Source organism: Homo sapiens, chromosome 2 (genome assembly GCF_000001405.40).
Source record: "Homo sapiens chromosome 2, GRCh38.p14 Primary Assembly".
Lineage (NCBI taxonomy): Eukaryota > Metazoa > Chordata > Mammalia > Primates > Hominidae > Homo > Homo sapiens.
This window is the reverse complement of record NC_000002.12, coordinates 49009748-49028456: the sequence shown is the minus strand read 5'-3', so window position 1 is coordinate 49028456 and position 18709 is coordinate 49009748. Positions and strand designations below refer to the sequence as shown.

The 18709-nt window shown below is 40.5% G+C and overlaps 1 protein-coding gene across 5 annotated transcripts in view; it reads left to right on the top strand.

The window, feature by feature from the left end:
• Nucleotides 1–18709, top strand: part of FSHR (follicle stimulating hormone receptor) — a 192359-nt gene that overhangs the window by 126059 nt on the left and 47591 nt on the right. For 4 of the 5 annotated variants that reach the window (NM_181446.3, NM_000145.4, XM_011532733.3 and 1 more), the window contains exons 3-4: nucleotides 8297–8371; nucleotides 10894–10968. In NM_181446.3, coding sequence (NP_852111.2) covers nucleotides 8297–8371; nucleotides 10894–10968 — 150 coding nt within the window. Of the gene's footprint in view, nucleotides 1–8296; nucleotides 8372–10893; nucleotides 10969–13509; nucleotides 13761–18709 lie in introns of those variants that run through there. The other variant, XM_047443867.1, reaches the window with a different exon arrangement.

Sequence of the window (18709 nt, the reverse complement as noted above, 5' to 3'; positions counted from 1 at the left end):
TGACTTGTCCAAGGTCACACGACTGGGCAATGATAAGGCTAGAATTTGAATCTAGACCTGTCTGGCTTCCAGGTTGATGCTGCCACTCACACATGTGTGTCAACCAAGACAAATATGAGTCAGCAGGGCCCTGATGAGACAAAGCCATTAGTGAGATTACCCATGCAGAGCATTTAGCACTGTGCCTGCTACACCGCAAACATCTAATAAAGGTTAATTATTATCATTGTCATCATTATTCCTGCAGCCTTGAGTTACACAACTCAAACTTACAAGTGTCTCAAACCTATGGCCACTTTACTGTCCCTGTCCCTTGTATGTCAAAGGCTACTCCAACCTCGCACCTCACTTTTTTTTGCCTCTGCCAAAAGTGTCAGGTCACATGAAACCCAAACGACCTGATCAACATGCCTTTCCTTTCTCCTCTACACAGCATATCCACTCCCTTACTACCTACCAAACTCCTTGTCTTTCATCACTAGGAACTCAGTAAATTCCTGCTTAAGAAAGAAATTGACTACCTTTTCTAGCTTCCAACCCTAATCTGACTCTACCTCCAGAAAATCTTTGTCCTTCCTTCACTCTTTTTTTTTTTTTTTTTTTTTTGGAGAAAGAGTCTCACTCTGTCATCCAGGCTGGAGTGCAGCCGCACAATCTCAGCTCACTGCAACCTCCGCCTCCTGGGCTCAAGTGATTCTAATGCCTCAGCCTCTCGAGCAGCTCAGACTATAGGCATGTGCCACCAAACCTGTCTAGTTTTTGTATTTTTAGTAGAGATGGTGTTTTGCCATGTTGGCCAGGTTGGTCTGAAACTCCTGACATCAAGTGATCGGCCCACCTCGGCCTCCCAAAGTGCTGGGATTATAGGCGTGAGCCACTGCGCCCGGCCCTTCCTTCACATTTTCTCATCTTCTTTCAATTCCATTTGCTTTCCCAAATAATTATCCTATGCATGGCTCCCAAGCACAAAGACTAGCTGCACCACTGTGTCCAGGTAGGGATAGACTCATAGGCTACCAGCTTCCACTTCACTATTTTCTCTACTCATCCCTTCATTCTTAGTCTTGCATATTATATACATAAACTTAAATCTCTCCCAAATATTAAGTAAATAATTGGTACACTTTATTCATTTGAAAACAGATGACCTATGACCAACATCAAACCACTCCGGAGTCACCACACGGCTGTTAAGAACTATTGGTGGTGGAAATTGCAAAGCTGACAATGATGGTGGGAAATAAAGGGAGGTTTGCAAGAAATACAGAAGAGAGTAATTGAGAGAATTTAAGATCTGTTTGGACAAAAATGGTGGAGAGAAGTTGGAGATGGCAGCAGAATTAAAAACTTAGGTTAGTCCAGTGGGCCAGTAGGGATGTCAGACAGAGCCGTTGGCAGGGGTCGTGACTAGGGAGGGGAAGAGAGTTTGGAGAGGAAAAGAATCTAGCTGCTCTAGACTGATTGTCTGTGATGGGTTCACAAAACATGTATCCCTCAGGTTGTTACAGACAAGGGATGCTGGTCTCAGAGGGCACCTCATTTGCCTCATCAGCAGATTCATCAGCAGAGAGGTCCTAACTGAGGGAATGAGGTGACCTCAGGGGGTCAACAGGAAAAGCTTGAGGGACACCAAGACAGGGATTAAGAAATGGTGACATTTAGAGAGTGTGTTGGGGTAAATATGGTGTACAGGGAAAAATAATAAAATGTATTGAAGCCCCACTGTTTACTCGGCTGTGTTGGGCACCGGGCATCCTTCCCACACTGTCCTCCACTTCTGTTGACTCTGCACTCGCAACTTTTCATGCGTATGCCTAACCTGCCGATGTTTGCAAGATAAGGGCAGTAATATTTACCATCTTATATGCTTTATACTTGCACAGAAAATGTACTAAAAGGTGCTTATTATATGAGTTGCTGCTTGGAACTTTGACTTATGTGTGCTGTTGGGGAAATTACTGAACTTCTGTGTGCCACCCTCTTCTGTAAAAGGGGCTAAGGATGGCACTTAGCTGACAAGGTTGTTGTGAGGATTAAGCAACCTAATAAATGTGAAGCAGAGAAAAGTTGCCTGACACGTAAGTGCTTAATAAACGTTAGCTATTATGACTGTGATTTTTAGTCCCTTTGCTCATCTACTGAGGGAAACAAGGGAAATATATTATGTCAAATTTTAGATTACTTAAGGTTTAAATTAAGGTAAACCTAAAAATGAACACAATCGTTTGTTGTTGATGTATTTGAAACCAAGTGCATTTAATTCAAATTACTGAATTAGGCTGAGCCACTGAAGGTACTTTTATCTCTGTCTCATTTTGGGGATATCTGTAGGATGACTCTAGCAAAGACTTATCTTGCCCATGAGAAGGAAGCAGATCTGGGAAGACAAGACCATCTCAGGCATGTCAGGAAAGGATAGCACCACTGGCTGTCATCTGAGGAGGTAAAAGGAGCCTTGTGGCAACATCCTCACCACACCCTGACATGTCCCACCTTGAATTGAGCCTCTCCTAAAGGGAAAAGCATGCTTTTTAGGTTATGATTTCAGTGGTGGAGACAATCCATGTTGAGGCACATACATGCTCTACCTAATCTCCTTTATGCGGTCAGCAGACCAGATAGCCAATCTCACTATAGGATTTAGGAAGGGGCTTGGGTTCGGAATAATAACATAGCCTGGTTTAAGTATTTAAATGATTCTATAGGTGAGGTTAAGGGAATAACCTGAATTTCTCTAGGACCTTTGCCAGTAGAGTTTTCCCTCAGCACAGTGGTTGACTGTCACAAGGTCTCCCAGCTGCAGATGAATTTAGTCCCAGACTCCACAAAGAGAGTTTTATGAAATTTTCTGGAACATATTTTCATGGGAATTTTCACCTGCCTTCTTATACATGACATATATATATTACACATATTATAATTATATTATATGCATATTACACTTCAATATCACAAGGTATACAACATATGTCACATATATAATATGAATTACTATATGCACATACTCTATCTTGTTGTATTGAAAAGCAATATACCAAAAGTTTATTTTTTCTAGTAACTAAAATGTGCCCCATCAAATACAGATAGCACCAGTTAAGGAAAGCCTAGAATACTACTCTCACTGAGTTAGAGATGATTGATGAACCAAGGATCCATTTTATTCATCTTTAGATTCCCAGCACTGATCCCAGTGCCTGAAACACAGAAGCTCCTTAATCAAAATTCGTTGAACATTTGTTGAATTAGTTCTCCACTCGCTTAAAGATTCACTCCAAGTTTTCTGCTAAGAAGCTTCCCTCCTGTGCGAATACACAATTTGATTTGCAAATACTCTGTTTACTGCAAGTTTTCAGGAACACGGTTTTATTGTACAAAAGCAAAGGTGGAAAATCTTTTATAATCTTTCAAAGATAATTCATTCATTCAGCAAACATTTGACTGGGAGCAGGAATATTAAGATAAAGGGCAATGTCACTGTCCTCCAGCAGTTCTTAGCCTAGTGAGGGAAACAAAGCAGAATGCAAACCCAATGCAATATGCAAGGGGCAGTAACAGAGGGTCTATGGAAATCCTCAACCACTGGGGACTCAGGGAAGGAAAACAGTCAACTGAATTTAGTTTGAGCTTATTAACAACAAAAGAAAAATTTGATTCAGTGACTATTACAAATATTTTAATGCAGTTGAGTCTCTTAATTTACTGAGTTAGGGAGAAATATTTTGGATATATTGGAGAAAAATGCTCTGTGAAGAGAAAGGCAGGGGAGGAGGGACAAGATGGGAAAGACCCAGAGGGGGACTTTATCTCCTCTATCAGAAAGAAAGTGAAAAAGAAGTTTCTGTTTTTGATTTCTTATTCTTTTATTTTTATTGTTTATTTTATTCATTTCAGGGATATATTATTTACTCACCAAAATCTGGAGTTTAGGCACAGTCTCGGCTCACTGCAAACTCCTCCCAGGTTCAAGTGATTCTCCTGCCTCAACCTCCTGAGTAGCTGGGAGCACAGGCATGCACCACCACGCATGACTAATTTTGTATTTTTAGTAGAGGTCAGGCTTCACCATGTTGCTCAGGCTGGTCTCAAACTCCTGACCTCAGGTGATCCACCCATCTCAGCCTCCAAAAGTACTGGGATTACAGGCATAAGCCACTGTACCCGGCCCTTATTTTTTTTTTTAATTTTACTTTAAATTCTGGGATACATGATGTGCAGAACGTGCAAGTTTATTACATAGGTATACATGTGCCATTCTGTTCTCCAATTCATGTCATCGAAATCCTAGTGAGGCCTTTAACTACTGGTCACAGCTCTTCAGTTCTTTGTATCCAATAAGTCAGTAACAACTCTACTCGGAATAAAACAGTTCGGCACTTGTCAAATGAGTATCAGTTATAATGGTGAACAAATTAATATGACTCTGTAAGAGGTTGAAATTTCATGCTGGAGCAGACCAAATTCTGTATGCTTATTCGCTCCCTAAAGTCCTCAATATTGGAAAACACCCTACCCCAACCCTCCATCAAATGTACTTGTATATTTGAAGGAAAGGAATTTCATAATGGCTCTGAAACCCACACCAGAGAGAATGCCTTGATAACCCCCAGTACCTCATGGAAGCACATGTCCCTATCCTTCATACAAACATGGAATCTCATGTACAGAAGGGGCCTTAAAAGTCATCTTCCCTAATCCCCAGTCAGACACTCAGTGAACCCTTATAGTCACCCGTCCTCTCTCCTGTTTTATTTTCTATGGGTGTTTTGTCAATTCAAGGACCTCAACTGATAGCCAGAGAAGGCCTAGGGAGAGAGCTGTGACCCAGAGAGGCACGGATAAAGGTATCCAGATACTATCTGGTCAGCAGACCAAATATTTTTGTGTGTCACTTGCATGTTATACTCTGTATTAGTAAAATTCCCTGGAACAAAATCCTAAGTCATAGACAAGCTAGGCTGGGCTGTCACCTGCTGGACTTAGACATGTTGCCTGCAGAAAAGGGGGTGAAAGAATGCCACAAACTTCATCTCCTTCAGTTTAGTGATGATATTCATAGGCCTGAAGATTTCTTTTCCTTAGTCTACCCTTTGATCCATTCATTCATCCAGTAATCATTTATTGGGCACTAACTACATATCAAATTATCACTAGATGCTAGAGATACAAAAACAGATGAATTAGACAATGACCAAAAAAAAGCAACGACAAAACATGGTTGTGATTGCTTCAGCTGAGAAATGAAAAAGATCTTGTGAGAAGCTAGACAATAGGAAAACTTCAGTGCTGGTAGAGTAAAGGAGGGCTTTTCAGAGGGAATGCAGATTTTTCTAAACCAACTACTTCATTCTCCTGGAGCTCCTCTATCACACTCTGCATATCCACCTATGAATATGTACATTGGGTCAAAAAGTCTGGTAGCATATTATTACTATTTCCCTAAAGAACCTTGCAGTACAAAGTATGACCAGCACCTGGGCTATTAGAAATGCAGGACCTCAGGCCCCAGTCAAGACCTTCCCAATGAGAATCTGCATTCTAAAAAGATCTCTAGGTGGTTCTCATGTGTGTTAGCATTTGAGAAGCGCTGTCCTAGAAGATGAGGAAAGGAGAGACTCATCTCTGAAAATTGTCTTCTGCAGAGCTTCTGTGCTTGAGGATGAAGGCACCTTGCACTGTTCTGGAAAAGACTTGACAAATGATCTCATCGTATCCCCTTATTTTGCAACAAAGAATCCAAGGCCCAGAGGGGTGCTCAATATGGCACGGGAGGCAGGGAGGGTAGAAGAAAGTGTGTGAGCCCTTCTGTCAGCCACAGTTGGTTCCTCATACAGGTGGGACCATTTATTAATGTGGAGACCAAAATACCAACCTCACAAGCATGTCAAAAGGATTACAGAGTATGTAGGTAAAGTGGCTGATAAACGGTAAACACCCAATAAATTATAATAGTAATAACTAGAGACAGAATTGGGTTAGATCGGAATAAGATGTCTAAATTTCTCATTGAAGGACTTTTCCATGACTGTACCCTGTTCACCTGCCCCCAACCCTCGTCTGGCCAAAGGCATCCCCCTACCCAACCCTAACACCTGGTACTGTCTTTGAAGTTGAGACCGTCAAATACGGACTACTTTCTGAAATCACTAATTTAGAAGTGTTTCTTTACTTTGTTCTAATAATTTCTAGTTCCTTTTGAAAAACAAATCCAGTTAAGGGAATTCTCAATATGTGAACTTCGGCAAGGACATATGTCTCTACGAGTGGTGACCAAATGTACTGCTAACTGCTAGTGAACCTGGAAATAGCTTTTAGAGGAGATGGCCTTATTTGCATTTGAGCCCTTCCTGTTAGCTAGCCTTTTCCTGCATGCCTTATTCTCTACCTGTGCCATTCTTTCACTCTACTGCATTCAAATGAAGGCTTTCTTCTTCCATCCCTTTCCCCCTCCTTCTCAATTCTGTACCTCTCAGAACTCCCTGTACTTACAGGATAAAGAATGAGATAATAAACGGCCAATAGCCAGCATGGTGTTCATTCTCTCTCTCTCTCTCTCTCTCTCTCTCTCTCTCTATATATATATATATATATATATAGAGAGAGAGAGAGAGAGAGAGAGAGAGAGAGAAACACATACCCCACCCTTATTTATGTTCAACTGTGCAAATGGTGAGGACTTTAATTTACCAAATAAATCATGAAAGATGTTATTATGGAATAAGAGGAGCTCTTCTCACATAATGTCTCCTCATTCATGGGGGCTTCTGAGAAATGGCCCTGCCACCACTGGGTTAACAAGCCACAGATGTCACCAGCCCCCTGGTCACAGATGCACCAGTCACAGATGCACCAGCAGACTGCTGCTGCTCACAGTCACACTTCCCCTCCCCCAGGGGCCTTCTTTTTTCCCTCCCCTCCAGGCCTTTCTCTTGATCAAGAGCCTTTCTAGAACTCTTCCGCTAAATCCTAGGCCAGCAGACAGCACTTCTACCCCAGCCAGTTTGAATGCATGCTGCCTGTGAGATTTCCTGAGACACTCAGCTGCCGCATTAAAACTGCATAAGAGTCTTCCTCAGGAGGCCTAATAATAGCACATTTCATCTGTGAGACACTTTATAAATATTAACTGATTAAGCTGCCCTCTCTCCTCACAACCTCTGGGCTTCTGCCTAGTGGACTTCATTCTCTTCTGCCCTCAAATTACTCTGGGAGAAAAAAACGCTGAGACCTGAGGAATCTTTTCTGTGTATTCTAGGCCAAGACATCATTAATGGCAATGGCCTTGCAACAACCTCCACCTAGTTAATGGCATGGAGTGGAAAGGGATTTAAATATATGTTTTATTTTATTATTTTTCTTAATTTTTAAGTTCCAGGGTACATGTGCAGGATGTGCAGGTTTGTTAAATAGGTAAATGTGTGTCATGGTGGTTTGCTGCACCTATCAACCCATCACCTAGGTATTAAGCCCAGCATGCATTAGCTATTTTTCCTAATGCTCTCCCTCCCTCAATCCTACCCCCTGACAGGCCCCAGTGTGTGTTGTTCCCCTCCCTGTGTTCATGTGTTCTCATTGTTTAGCTCCCACTTATAAGTGAGAATATGCGGTGTTTGGCTTTCTGTTCCTACGTTAGACATTAATGGGGCCAACAAACATATGTGTATTTTAAAAGAGACTGGATTGAAGTTCTCATCTCTCAAAGCCAGATTAGCAGAGAGAAAACAACTCCACGATCTAGGACAGTGTCACTGAACTACAGCCAATGGATCAAATCCAGCCTGACACCTGTTTTTATGAATAAAGTTTTATTGGAACACAGGCTAATTCATTCATGTGTTACCTTTGGTTACATTTGGGCTACAATGTCAATTGGGCAGTTGTGATAGAGACCAAATACCACAGCAAGGGCAAAAAAGTATTTACTATCTAGCCCTGTAAAAAAAAAAAAAAAATGTTTACTGACCCGTGGTCTAGGGAACTTAAATTTTGTTCTCATCCTGTATATTCCCTAAATATCTTTAAGCAAATCTCTTCCTTCCTGGACCTCACTTTCTACAACTATAGACTGGATAATCTCCAAGGTGAGCCACAGCCTTCGACTTATTCTCCTCTTGTTCGGTAAGTGTTAGCCTCTAGTATGTTAGTTTTGCCTTATTACTACAGCTGACTTCTTTAATGGCAGGAAAGGAGTTTTGTGTGTCTTGTGAATCCTCCCAGACACAAGGCTCTATGCTGAGCCCTAAAAATATTCAAGGAGTGTAACTGAACTGGCTTGACTTATATATTTTTTTCTCCACAGAGAGATCTCTCAGAATGATGTCTTGGAGGTGATAGAGGCAGATGTGTTCTCCAACCTTCCCAAATTACATGAAATGTAAGCAAGAAGATTGGGGGATTTGCTCATGGCCATTCTTGAAAAAACCCTTAAAGTTCTTCTACATTCCTGGGAGGCCCTGATTCTGCCATGGCCTCAGATCCCTAGATTGTCATTATAAGATGTCAAAATCAGCCTAAAAGGCACTGTAATGTGTCTCTATCTGGTGACCCAGGGACCAGCTCAGAGCCTAGTCTCATCCTGTTGCCTGCCTGTCATCATTTTTTGCATCATAGACCCAAGAACTTTGCCCAGTGACTATGTGCAAGCACCTCTGTGTCATCCTTCCATTCAGAGTTATTCCAGTCAAAGCCCAAAATAAGTCCCACATGATGTAGTTGAAGTTGATTAGTCCTGGTCTGACTACTGGCCTATGCCATATATTCACCATGAAACCTTGGCCAAGATAGATAACTATCTGAGACTCAGTTTTCTCATCTGTAAAACTGGAATAATAAAATTACATATGTCATAGGATTACCCTGATGAATAAAGAAGATAAATGTCAATTAAATCTAGCATACTGACTGGCCTAGAGTGTGTATGTTATAATGATCCTTGGTTCCTCTACTACTCCAGCCAAATTTACTTTCTCTTGTTGATGTTCCAGTTTTACATAATAGCGCTGCTCACACAGATCCACTTCTGTTTCATACCAGTTTATTATTACTATAAATTATTTCATAGAATCATAGAATGTCAAAGCCAGAAGAGACTTTAGAGACTGGTCAACAATTTTTCAAAGTATATTCTGTGTATCACTAAAAACTCAGGGAATTATAAGGTATTTTTAAAAAGGAAAAGATTTATGGTCAAATAAGATTAGGAAATATTAGGTAAATAAAATTAGATAGGTTTGCTTCTTATAGGAAAACTTTTCAGAGTCTATAATATGCTAATATGCATTTAGAATCTCCAAGAAGGATATTGTGTGTTTGTCAACTAATGTCACTGGAAAGTTTTCTTTAGAGATTGGTGATTACCATCTCACAAAATCCCCATGGAACACATTTAAGAAAGCCAATGAACTACCTCCTAATTTTACAGATGAAGAAGGAAAGGCACAGAGAAGTTGTAAGGCTTATCTAAGGTCATCTGTCCAAATCCACACACAAATAAGAACTTGAACATTAATCTTTTGACTCTTTTGTATCTTTTTAACAAGGATGAATTTATTTTTATCATTTGCCAAATATCAGTAGGGAACAGATACACACACACACAAATAGACACACAGGTGTGTGTGTGTGTGCATGCGCGTGTGTGTGAATTTCTTTAGTCTGCTCATTTGGCAATCTCCCCTCTCCCTTTTACTTCCTTCTACCCACTCTGCCTCCTACCTTCATTTTTCCTCGTTGCCTCTGCACTCTGCAAGTGATGTTCACCCTCCCTCTCCCCATTACTTTCATGCTTCTTCCTTTCTTCTCTTTCCACTTGGTCTAGTTGGGAAGAACCCACAGACATTATCAGAGAAATGAACCAAAGGGCAGCCAGCCCTCTGGGCAAGGTCAAGCAGGCATCCCTTGAAACATTTCAATGGACAGTGAAGGTAGTGGTTTGGGTCTTTCATCTCTTCCTTGCATAAAGAGGTGCTCACCTCCATGTAGCACTGACTGTACTTAAAATGATTAATTGCCTGGTACTTAGATCTGGGTAGCTACAGTTTACAGCAACATAAAAGCTAATGAAACAGGGAGGAAGTAACTAACAGAGAGCATGTCTACAAATACACATTGATCCAGCAAGACAAGGAAAGGGCAGGCTGTCTGTGTTGGAATCCAAATGTGAACATGCTCACTTCCAGACTGTTGATCAAGACACAGCACAAGCCAAAATAGGGCAGAAGTCACCCCTTTCCATGAGCTCTGAGTGAGCAGCCTCAGTCTACTGCATAAAGGGAATCAATGGCCATTCCCAGCTACTGTATGCTTGGATTTCATGCTTAAAAGCAAAAAGATATCGATTGTTTTTCTCCCAACTTTCTTTTTCTTTGCCATTTCACTCTCTTTTCCTCCAATACCTTTTTGCCCCTCACTTTTTCCTTCCTTATCTTCTTTTCACCTCTTTTCCATTTTTCATTGCTCTTTTTCATTACTTTCATTCCTTTTTCTCTTGCCTCCCGACCAGACAAACACTCATTTCGCCATATTAGTCTCATTCCTAACCTCTTAGCCTCCTCCAACCCTGGGCGATTCTTACTGGTTAAAGATGCAGCTCTGCTCAGGGTGACAAGAACCCACCCAGCCAATGCTCTGTTTGCCTCCAGCGGACAGGGCCCAGGTAATGAGAATGAAACAGCAGGGAGACAGGGTTAATATTTAGTTTGCACAGCTTAGTGTGATAAAAGGCACTGCATGCTCCCTCAATATTTATTGAAATGATGGATGGATGGATGGATGGATGAATAGATGGGTGGATGAGTGGATGGGATGAATGATTTATTATGTACTCTGTAAAATGTGAAAAATACTACAGCATTCCTTACCATCAAGATCACTAGCATGTTTTTTCTTCTTTTACAGTAGAATTGAAAAGGCCAACAACCTGCTCTACATCAACCCTGAGGCCTTCCAGAACCTTCCCAACCTTCAATATCTGTAAGAACTCATGTAGTTTGGTACCCCCACTATGATTAAATAGTGCAAGCCTATTTTACTAAAAGGCCTACTTGATACTCTGGGGAGCAATTACTTTTGATCAAGGATGGTGGTGGGGGGCAGAAGTGGAGGTGGAGAGATACTTGGTGATGGATTTTAGTTTAATGAGCAAATTCTACTAACATAATTGTATCTTGTTTTCATTTGCAAAAACAGACATAAGAAATGCCATTTGCATTAATGGGACGGTCACATGGACCTCGTACAGAACTCAGTCATAATTTAGTGTTAATGAGATACAGCCAAAATTTCTGCTAGCATTTAGCTTGTGACCTTGACTTCAAAGCCATTGTCTCTCTTATTCTGCATATATGCATTTTTCCCTTGATAAATATCAGCATTTTATTTTGTTTATTTTGTATGTTTTCGTTAATAACACACATGGTATTTTATCAGCAGAGATTCCTAGTGTTTCAGCTGCATTCTTTGGGCCTGCCCCTATCAGCAAAAGCACTGCTTCCTCTACTCAAATGGCTTTCGGATTAGCTGAGGGCTTGACAGAGCCATGAGTGTTATAATGGGACCCCACAAAATAACAGTTAAGAATTTGGTCGCTGGAGTTAAACTTTCTGGGTTCATTTACCAGCTACTGATCATAGGTATGGACTTAACCTCGCATATTGTTTCATCAAGAGAATGGAAATAATAATCCTTGAATATCTGTTATCTATTAGCATCATAATCATGCATAACCAACCAACCACTACACAAAGATAGAGGCTTAAAGCAACAACTACTTGTCATTTTTTACCTCTCTGTGAGTTGATCAGTGGAATGGTTCTGCTGATCTGGACTAGGTCTGCCTGACCTCAGCTAAGTTCATTTATACATCTATTGTTAATTGGCAGATCAACTGGATGTTGGCCACTCTGGATGGCCTCAATTGGGATGACTCAGCCCTCCTCTAAGAGGCACTCATTTCTAGCAGGGTAGCATAGTAGGCTTGTTTTCATGGTAATCCCAGGGTTCTAAGAGAGACAGCTGAAGACTGCAAGCATCTTAAGGCCAAGATCCTGAACTAGCACACTATCTCTTCTGATGCATTCTATTAACCAAAACAATTCACTGAATCATCCAGATTCAAAAGGTGAAGATGCTACTTCTTGATGGGAAAAGCTGCAAAGTCACAACACAAGGCATAGGGAAGGATACAGAATTGAAGCCATTTTTTGAAGCCACTTTTGAAATCAGTTTAAAGTATTTAAACATTTTTGTACTACGCCTCTGATAGTAGATGCTCAGTAAATATTAGCTATTAATGATATTACGATTCTGTGCCTAAATTTTCATTCATAAGAACTGGACTTAACAGGTATAATAAGAAACACTGGGCCATCATGTGCCTTAGCTCTCTGAATGAGAACTGAGGTAATAAAAGACTTAATAGGAGACAATTCATATGACCTGGAACTTCTGCTCTCTGACAGCTACCCCAGAAAGGGTCTGAAAAAGAAACAAAGTCATCTGCTTCTAAGTTACTGTCAGAGGTAGGCTGGCTTCATGGGCACACAAGTGCAGTTGTATAGGGCTTTGTGCTCAGGAGGGCCCCCGCACTCAGAGGACTGCTGGGTTTCATTCTCTGCTGTTACCTTCTTGAAATGCTTAAACAAGAGGCTCTGCATTTTTATTTACACAGCATCCCACAAATTACGTAGCCAGTCCTGCTTAGAGGTTAGGGTTATGAGCTCTTCTACTTTCAGGCTTAGGAGTCTTGATCTCTAAGTTCATCATGTTCCTTAGGGATGGAATCTTTGCTATGCTCTCTGCAGAGGCTAACATGCCTAGGCACATAACAGTAGAGGAAATACGTGACAACAGAAAAAGCATGCACCTCAGAATCAGAAAGTCTAGGTCTTCATCCTGACTCCATCATTCAATAGTTGAGAAATCTTGGGCCAATCACCGGACTTCTGAGAGACGCACATGGCTTATATGAACCTCAAACAAGATTTAGATATGAAAATATTTTGTCAAATACGAAGTGCTCAAAAACATTAATAAATGTATTTGTAGAATAATTATTTCTGGTCAAATACTCAAGGTCTACCAGCCCATCCTCAGGAAAATTCTAGTAAGTTGTTGAATAATTATGCTGCCGATTAAGACCTTCAGCTTTTACCTACAAATGCTTGGCAAGGGTTCAAAAAGAGGAAGTTGGAGCATGCCTTTGCATTTAAATGAACAGAATGGAAAAGAAACTATATATGAAAAACTATGAATTCAGAAGGACTGGAATCCAAATAGAACATTGATATTTATTAGCTAGCTGGTTAATTACTTTCCCTAAACCTCAGTTTGCTTATCTATAGAGCGGCTGTAAAAACCAAATAAGATTATGCCTTTAATAAAAAAACACTTTGCAAATTGTTTTTATATAAAAACTATAAAGAACTATAGAAATATAAAATTATTAGTGCCTGTTACCCAGTTAGTTTCCTTCATTCTTTCTTCCTTTCTCCCAACTCTATCTCTCCCTTCCAGATCCTTCTCTTCTTTTGTTTTGGAGAATGCCAAAGTGGAAAATGGGGATCATAGAGCCTTCAGTGACAGAACAAATGCTCTCTAGGACATGAAGAGGCATCCCCAGAGACACTTTCATTCATAAACTATCACATATGGCTAATGCAAAGCACTCCTGCCAAGGACAAACCCAAGAAGAAAACCAGCTCTTCACATAGATATCCCTAGCCCATGATAATAATAGCATATCTGAAAATGCGGATTGGAAACAGGTAAATGAGAAATGAGGAATCATTGCAAAATTTGAAACCAAGGGATTCAGAATTTGACCTCATCATTGACCCACATCTTGCAGCCAGCACCATTTGTTCTTATGAATGAGGACCCCCTTGGCCCTTCCCTTAGGAGATGAGGGCAGGGGAGATACTTGAACTTGTAAGGATGTGGGCATGGAAAGCACAGCTCCAGACAGAGGAAGGGAGAGAGGGAGAACAGAGGAAACAGAGCTATGCCTTTGCCTCTGAAAAAGGCTGAAATCTGTGCCACCTGCCACTAAGTCCATCCTCCTCTTTGTGTCTTTCTGTCTCACTTTGGGGTGTTGAGTAGTCCTCAGTCCTGTATCAAGTTCACAAAAAGCTGGAGGTGACCAATTCCAGACACATCTTTTTCTGAGAGAAGATTATTGTTCTCAGGGCATTTTAAACCTGCTTTCTAAGGAAAGAAAAGCACAAGAAAGGATTTAGAAGGGATTATGTCACTGTCGAGGGATTCTCCTTGATTGCTCTGAAAAATAGCATATCATTTTCTTAGTCAGTTTGGGCTGCTCTAACAGACTACTGTAGCTTGTGTAGCTTAAACAATAAACATTTGTTTCTCATGGTCCTGGGGGCTAGAAGCCCAAGATCAGGATGCCAGCTGGCCAGTTCTTGGTAAGGGCCCTCTTCCTGGGTTACAGACAGCCATCTTCCCATTGCATCCTTACAATGTATATGCACATGGCCTTACCTTGGTGCATATACACAGAGAGAAAGAGAGATCCCATGTCTCTTCCTCTTTTTGTAAGGGCATTCATCCTATTGTGAGGGTCTTGCCCTGATGATCTTATCTAACTCTAATCACCTTCCAGAGGCTCTACCCTTAAATATCATCACATTGAGGGTTAGGTTCCAACATATAAATTTGGGGAGGACACAAACGTTCAATTCATTGCAGTTATATAATTCTACACTATACAAAATGTTTGCACATCCACTGCTATGTAGATTTCCCATTAGGGAGTTGAGACCAAGAGTTGTCTATCTTAAGGCTTTGACTTACTGCCCAGGGTGGACCTTTCCCAGCTATGTACTCCTCCTCAGTGTATGGCAACTCTGCCCTCCAAAGGCACTTCTACCTGCAATAAATAAATAAACCATATATATATTTATTTATATATATATTTTTATATATATTTATATATATATATATTTATATATATATATATTTATTTATATATATATATATATTTATATATATATTCAGGGCTAAGACTCTAGCTCTTTGAAATATTTTCCAAACTGCTAAGAGGGATCACCTAAACTCATAGGTGGCCCTCTAAATCTGAAAGATTTTGTCAGGGAAACAAAACCTAATTAAGCTTCCACCTCACACTAGTTAGCTTGGGCTACCATAACAAAATACCATACGCTAAGTAAATTAAACAACAGAAATTTATTTCTGACAGTTCTAGAGGCTGGGAAGTCCAAGAGGTACTGGCCAATTTGGTTCCTGGCTTGCAGACAGCTGCCTTCTCCCTGTGTCCTCAAATAGTACCAAGAGTGAGAGTGAGAAAGTGGGGGTGGGGGGGGAAGATAGAGAAAGAGAGAGAGAGGGAGAGAGAGGTGGAGAGAAAGGAGAAAGAGAGACTTGAGTGAGCAAGAATGAGTTTCTGGTGTCTTATCTTATATAATGGCAATAATCCTAACAGGTTTAGGGCCCTACACTTATGACCTCATTTAACCTTAATTACCTACCAGAAGTTCTATTTCCAAATACAGTTACAGTGGGGATTAGAGTTTTAACAATTGAGTTTTGAGAGGACACAGTTCAGTCCATAGCATATCTTCCATGCTTATTTTCATCTGAGCAGGAGTCCTAACAGCTTCATGCTCCAGCAGCCAGGTAGAGGTAGATGGCAACGATTTCAGATATTCTTTGGGATGATGAACTACTTGCTTCAAGAGAAAAAACGCAAAATGGATGAAGGAATTCAGTGGGGACCAGTAGGATTGAGTTGTTGGTTTTGTTTCATTTTGTTTTTTTCTTAAGCCAGGATAAATGTTAATCATCACAGCCACTGAAGCAGGAGATTACAAGGGGTAGGGGTGAGTTGCTACTTGACTTGAATGTCCTAATTTCTGCATACGGGTACTTAAAAATGTTGTTCTGAAGCTCTCCCTGTTGATGCCATCTCATGCTGCTCATTTGATGGCACAGAATTCAAGACAACTAGAAATCAGTGCTCTTCATCAATGCCTTCATGCTTCACTGAGGAACCTTAAGTGGTTAGGAAAAAAAAACTCATGAATAAAGAAGTGTTCTTAACTTGAAGAATATGCATCAAAGGATTCATCTGGGTGGATTTTTTTAAGTCAATATTGTATTTACAGGCAATATTTCTTTCTTTACTGCTCTGCCTTCCTGGAGCTGACCTTTTGTGTATGAAAGATTGTCTATTGATCTGTAAATAAGGTTTACACAATATTTTCTTGCCTTTGCATCCTGTTAAAGTAATTCTCAGGCAGCTGGATGTTTCTCTTTGCTGCTCAATAAACCATAATTCCATTTTAGCAAACCTTTCACACAGTGCTGTAAGCCCCACCCCCATGCCCCACTGACAACCATCTTCCACTCAGATGTGGGCCTGTTAGACCTCCTTATGATGCCTGTTAATGGCTGCCATGACATGTGCTTTCTTCAGGTGGGAACAATTCCAGGAGATTCTTCACTGGGACTCCCCTCAGCAATCCAGGCTGTTTCTTTCCCAACCCTCAGCTAAGTCCCTCTCTCTCTTTTCTGTGTTTGTCCCTTAAATTTAATTTGGTAGGAGTATTAAAAGTAGCTTTTCTGGTTATAAAAGCTGAACTGCTTTTGGAGGTAGCACGGCAAGGGGACAGAGGGTAGGGAGTCAAGAGGCAGCTCAGAGTAGCAAGGAAGCACAAAGAATCCAGTGGCACCTGTCTGGGCACAGGTCTCAGCTGCTTCCCTTATTTGCTGCATAAGCTTGTATAATCGGCTTAACTTTGCTTTCTGAAAAGTAGGAACCTTAACATTGCCTGCATCACCGAGTTGTGTTCATCGAGTTAAAACAAATGTTTAGACAAATGATCGACATTTAGAAAATTCAAGGATACCCAGGAATTGAACTCAGCTCTGCACCAAGCGGACCTAATAGACATCTACAGAACTCTCCACCCCAAATCAACAGAATATATATTTTTTTCAGCACCACACCACACCTATTCCAAAACTGACCACATACTTGGAAGTCAAGCTCTCCTCAACAAATGTAAAAGAACAGAAATTATAACAAACTATCTCTCAGACCACATTGCAATCAAACTAGAACTCAGGATTAAGAATCTCACTCAAAACCACTCAACTACATGGAAACTGAACAACCTGCTCCTGAATGACTAGTGGGTACATAATGAAATGAAGGCAGAAATAAATATGTTCTTTGAAACCAACGAGAACAAAGACACAACATACCAGAATCTGTGGGACGCATTCAAAGCAGTGTGTAGAGGGAAATTTATAGCACTAAATGCCCACAAGAGAAAGCAGGAAAGATCCAAAATTGACACCCTAACATCAAAATTAAAAGAACTAGAAAAGCAAGAGCAAACACATTCAAAAGCTAGCAGAAGGCAAGAAATAACTAAAATCAGAGCAGAACTGAAGGAAATAGAGACACAAAAAACCCTTCAAAAAATTAATGAATCCAGGAGCTGGTTTTTTGAAAGGATCAACAAAATTGATAGACCACTAGCAAGACTAATAAAGAAGAAAAGAGAGAAGAATCCAATAGATGCAATAAAAAATGATAAAGGGGATATCACCACCGATCCCACAGAAATACAAACTACCATGAGAGAATACTACAAACACCTCTACGCAAATAAACTAGAAAATCTAGAAGAAATGGATAAATTCCTTGACACATACATTCTTCCAAGACTAAACCAGGAAGAAGTTGAATCTCTGAATAGACCAATAACAGGATCTGAAATTGTGGCAATAATCAATAGCTTACCAACCAAAAAGAGTCCAGGACCAGATGGATTCACAGCCGAATTCTACCAGAGGTACAAGGAGGAACTGGTACCATTCCTTCTGAAACTATTCCAATCAATAGAAAAAGAAGGAATCCTCCCTAACTCATTTTATGAGGCCAGCATCATTCTGATACCAAAGCCGGGCAGAGACACAACAAAAAAAGAGAATTTTAGACCAATATCCCTGATGAACATTGATGCAAAAATCTTCAATAAAATACTGGCAAACTGAATCCAGCAACACATCAAAAAGCTTATCCACCATGATCAAGTGGGCTTCATCCCTGGGATGCAAGGCTGGTTCAATATACACAAATCAATAAATGTAATCCAGCATATAAACAGAGCCAAAGACAAAAACCACATGATTATCTCAATAGATGCAGAAAAAGCCTTTGACAAAATTCAACAACCCTTCATGCTAAAAACTCTCAATAAATTAGGTATTGATGGGACGTATTTCAAAATAATAAGAGCTATCTATGACAAACCCACAGCCAATATCATACTGAATGGGCAAAAACTGGAAGCATTCCCTTTGAAAACTGGCACAAGACAGGGATGCCCTCTCTCACCGGTCCTATTCAACATAGTGTTGGAAGTTCTGGCCAGGGCAATTAAGCAGGAGAAGGAAATAAAGGGTATTCAATTAGGAAAAGAGGAAGTCAAATTGTCCCTGTTTGCAGACGACATGATTGTATATCTAGAAAACCCCATTGTCTCAGGCCAAAATCTCCTTAAGCTGATAAGCAACTTCAGCAAAGTCTCAGGATACAAAATCAACGTACAAAAATCACAAGCATTCTTATACACCAGCAACAGACAAACAGAGAGCCAAATCATGAGTGAACTCCCATTCACAATTGCTTCAAAGAGAATAAAATACCTAGGAATCCAACTTACAA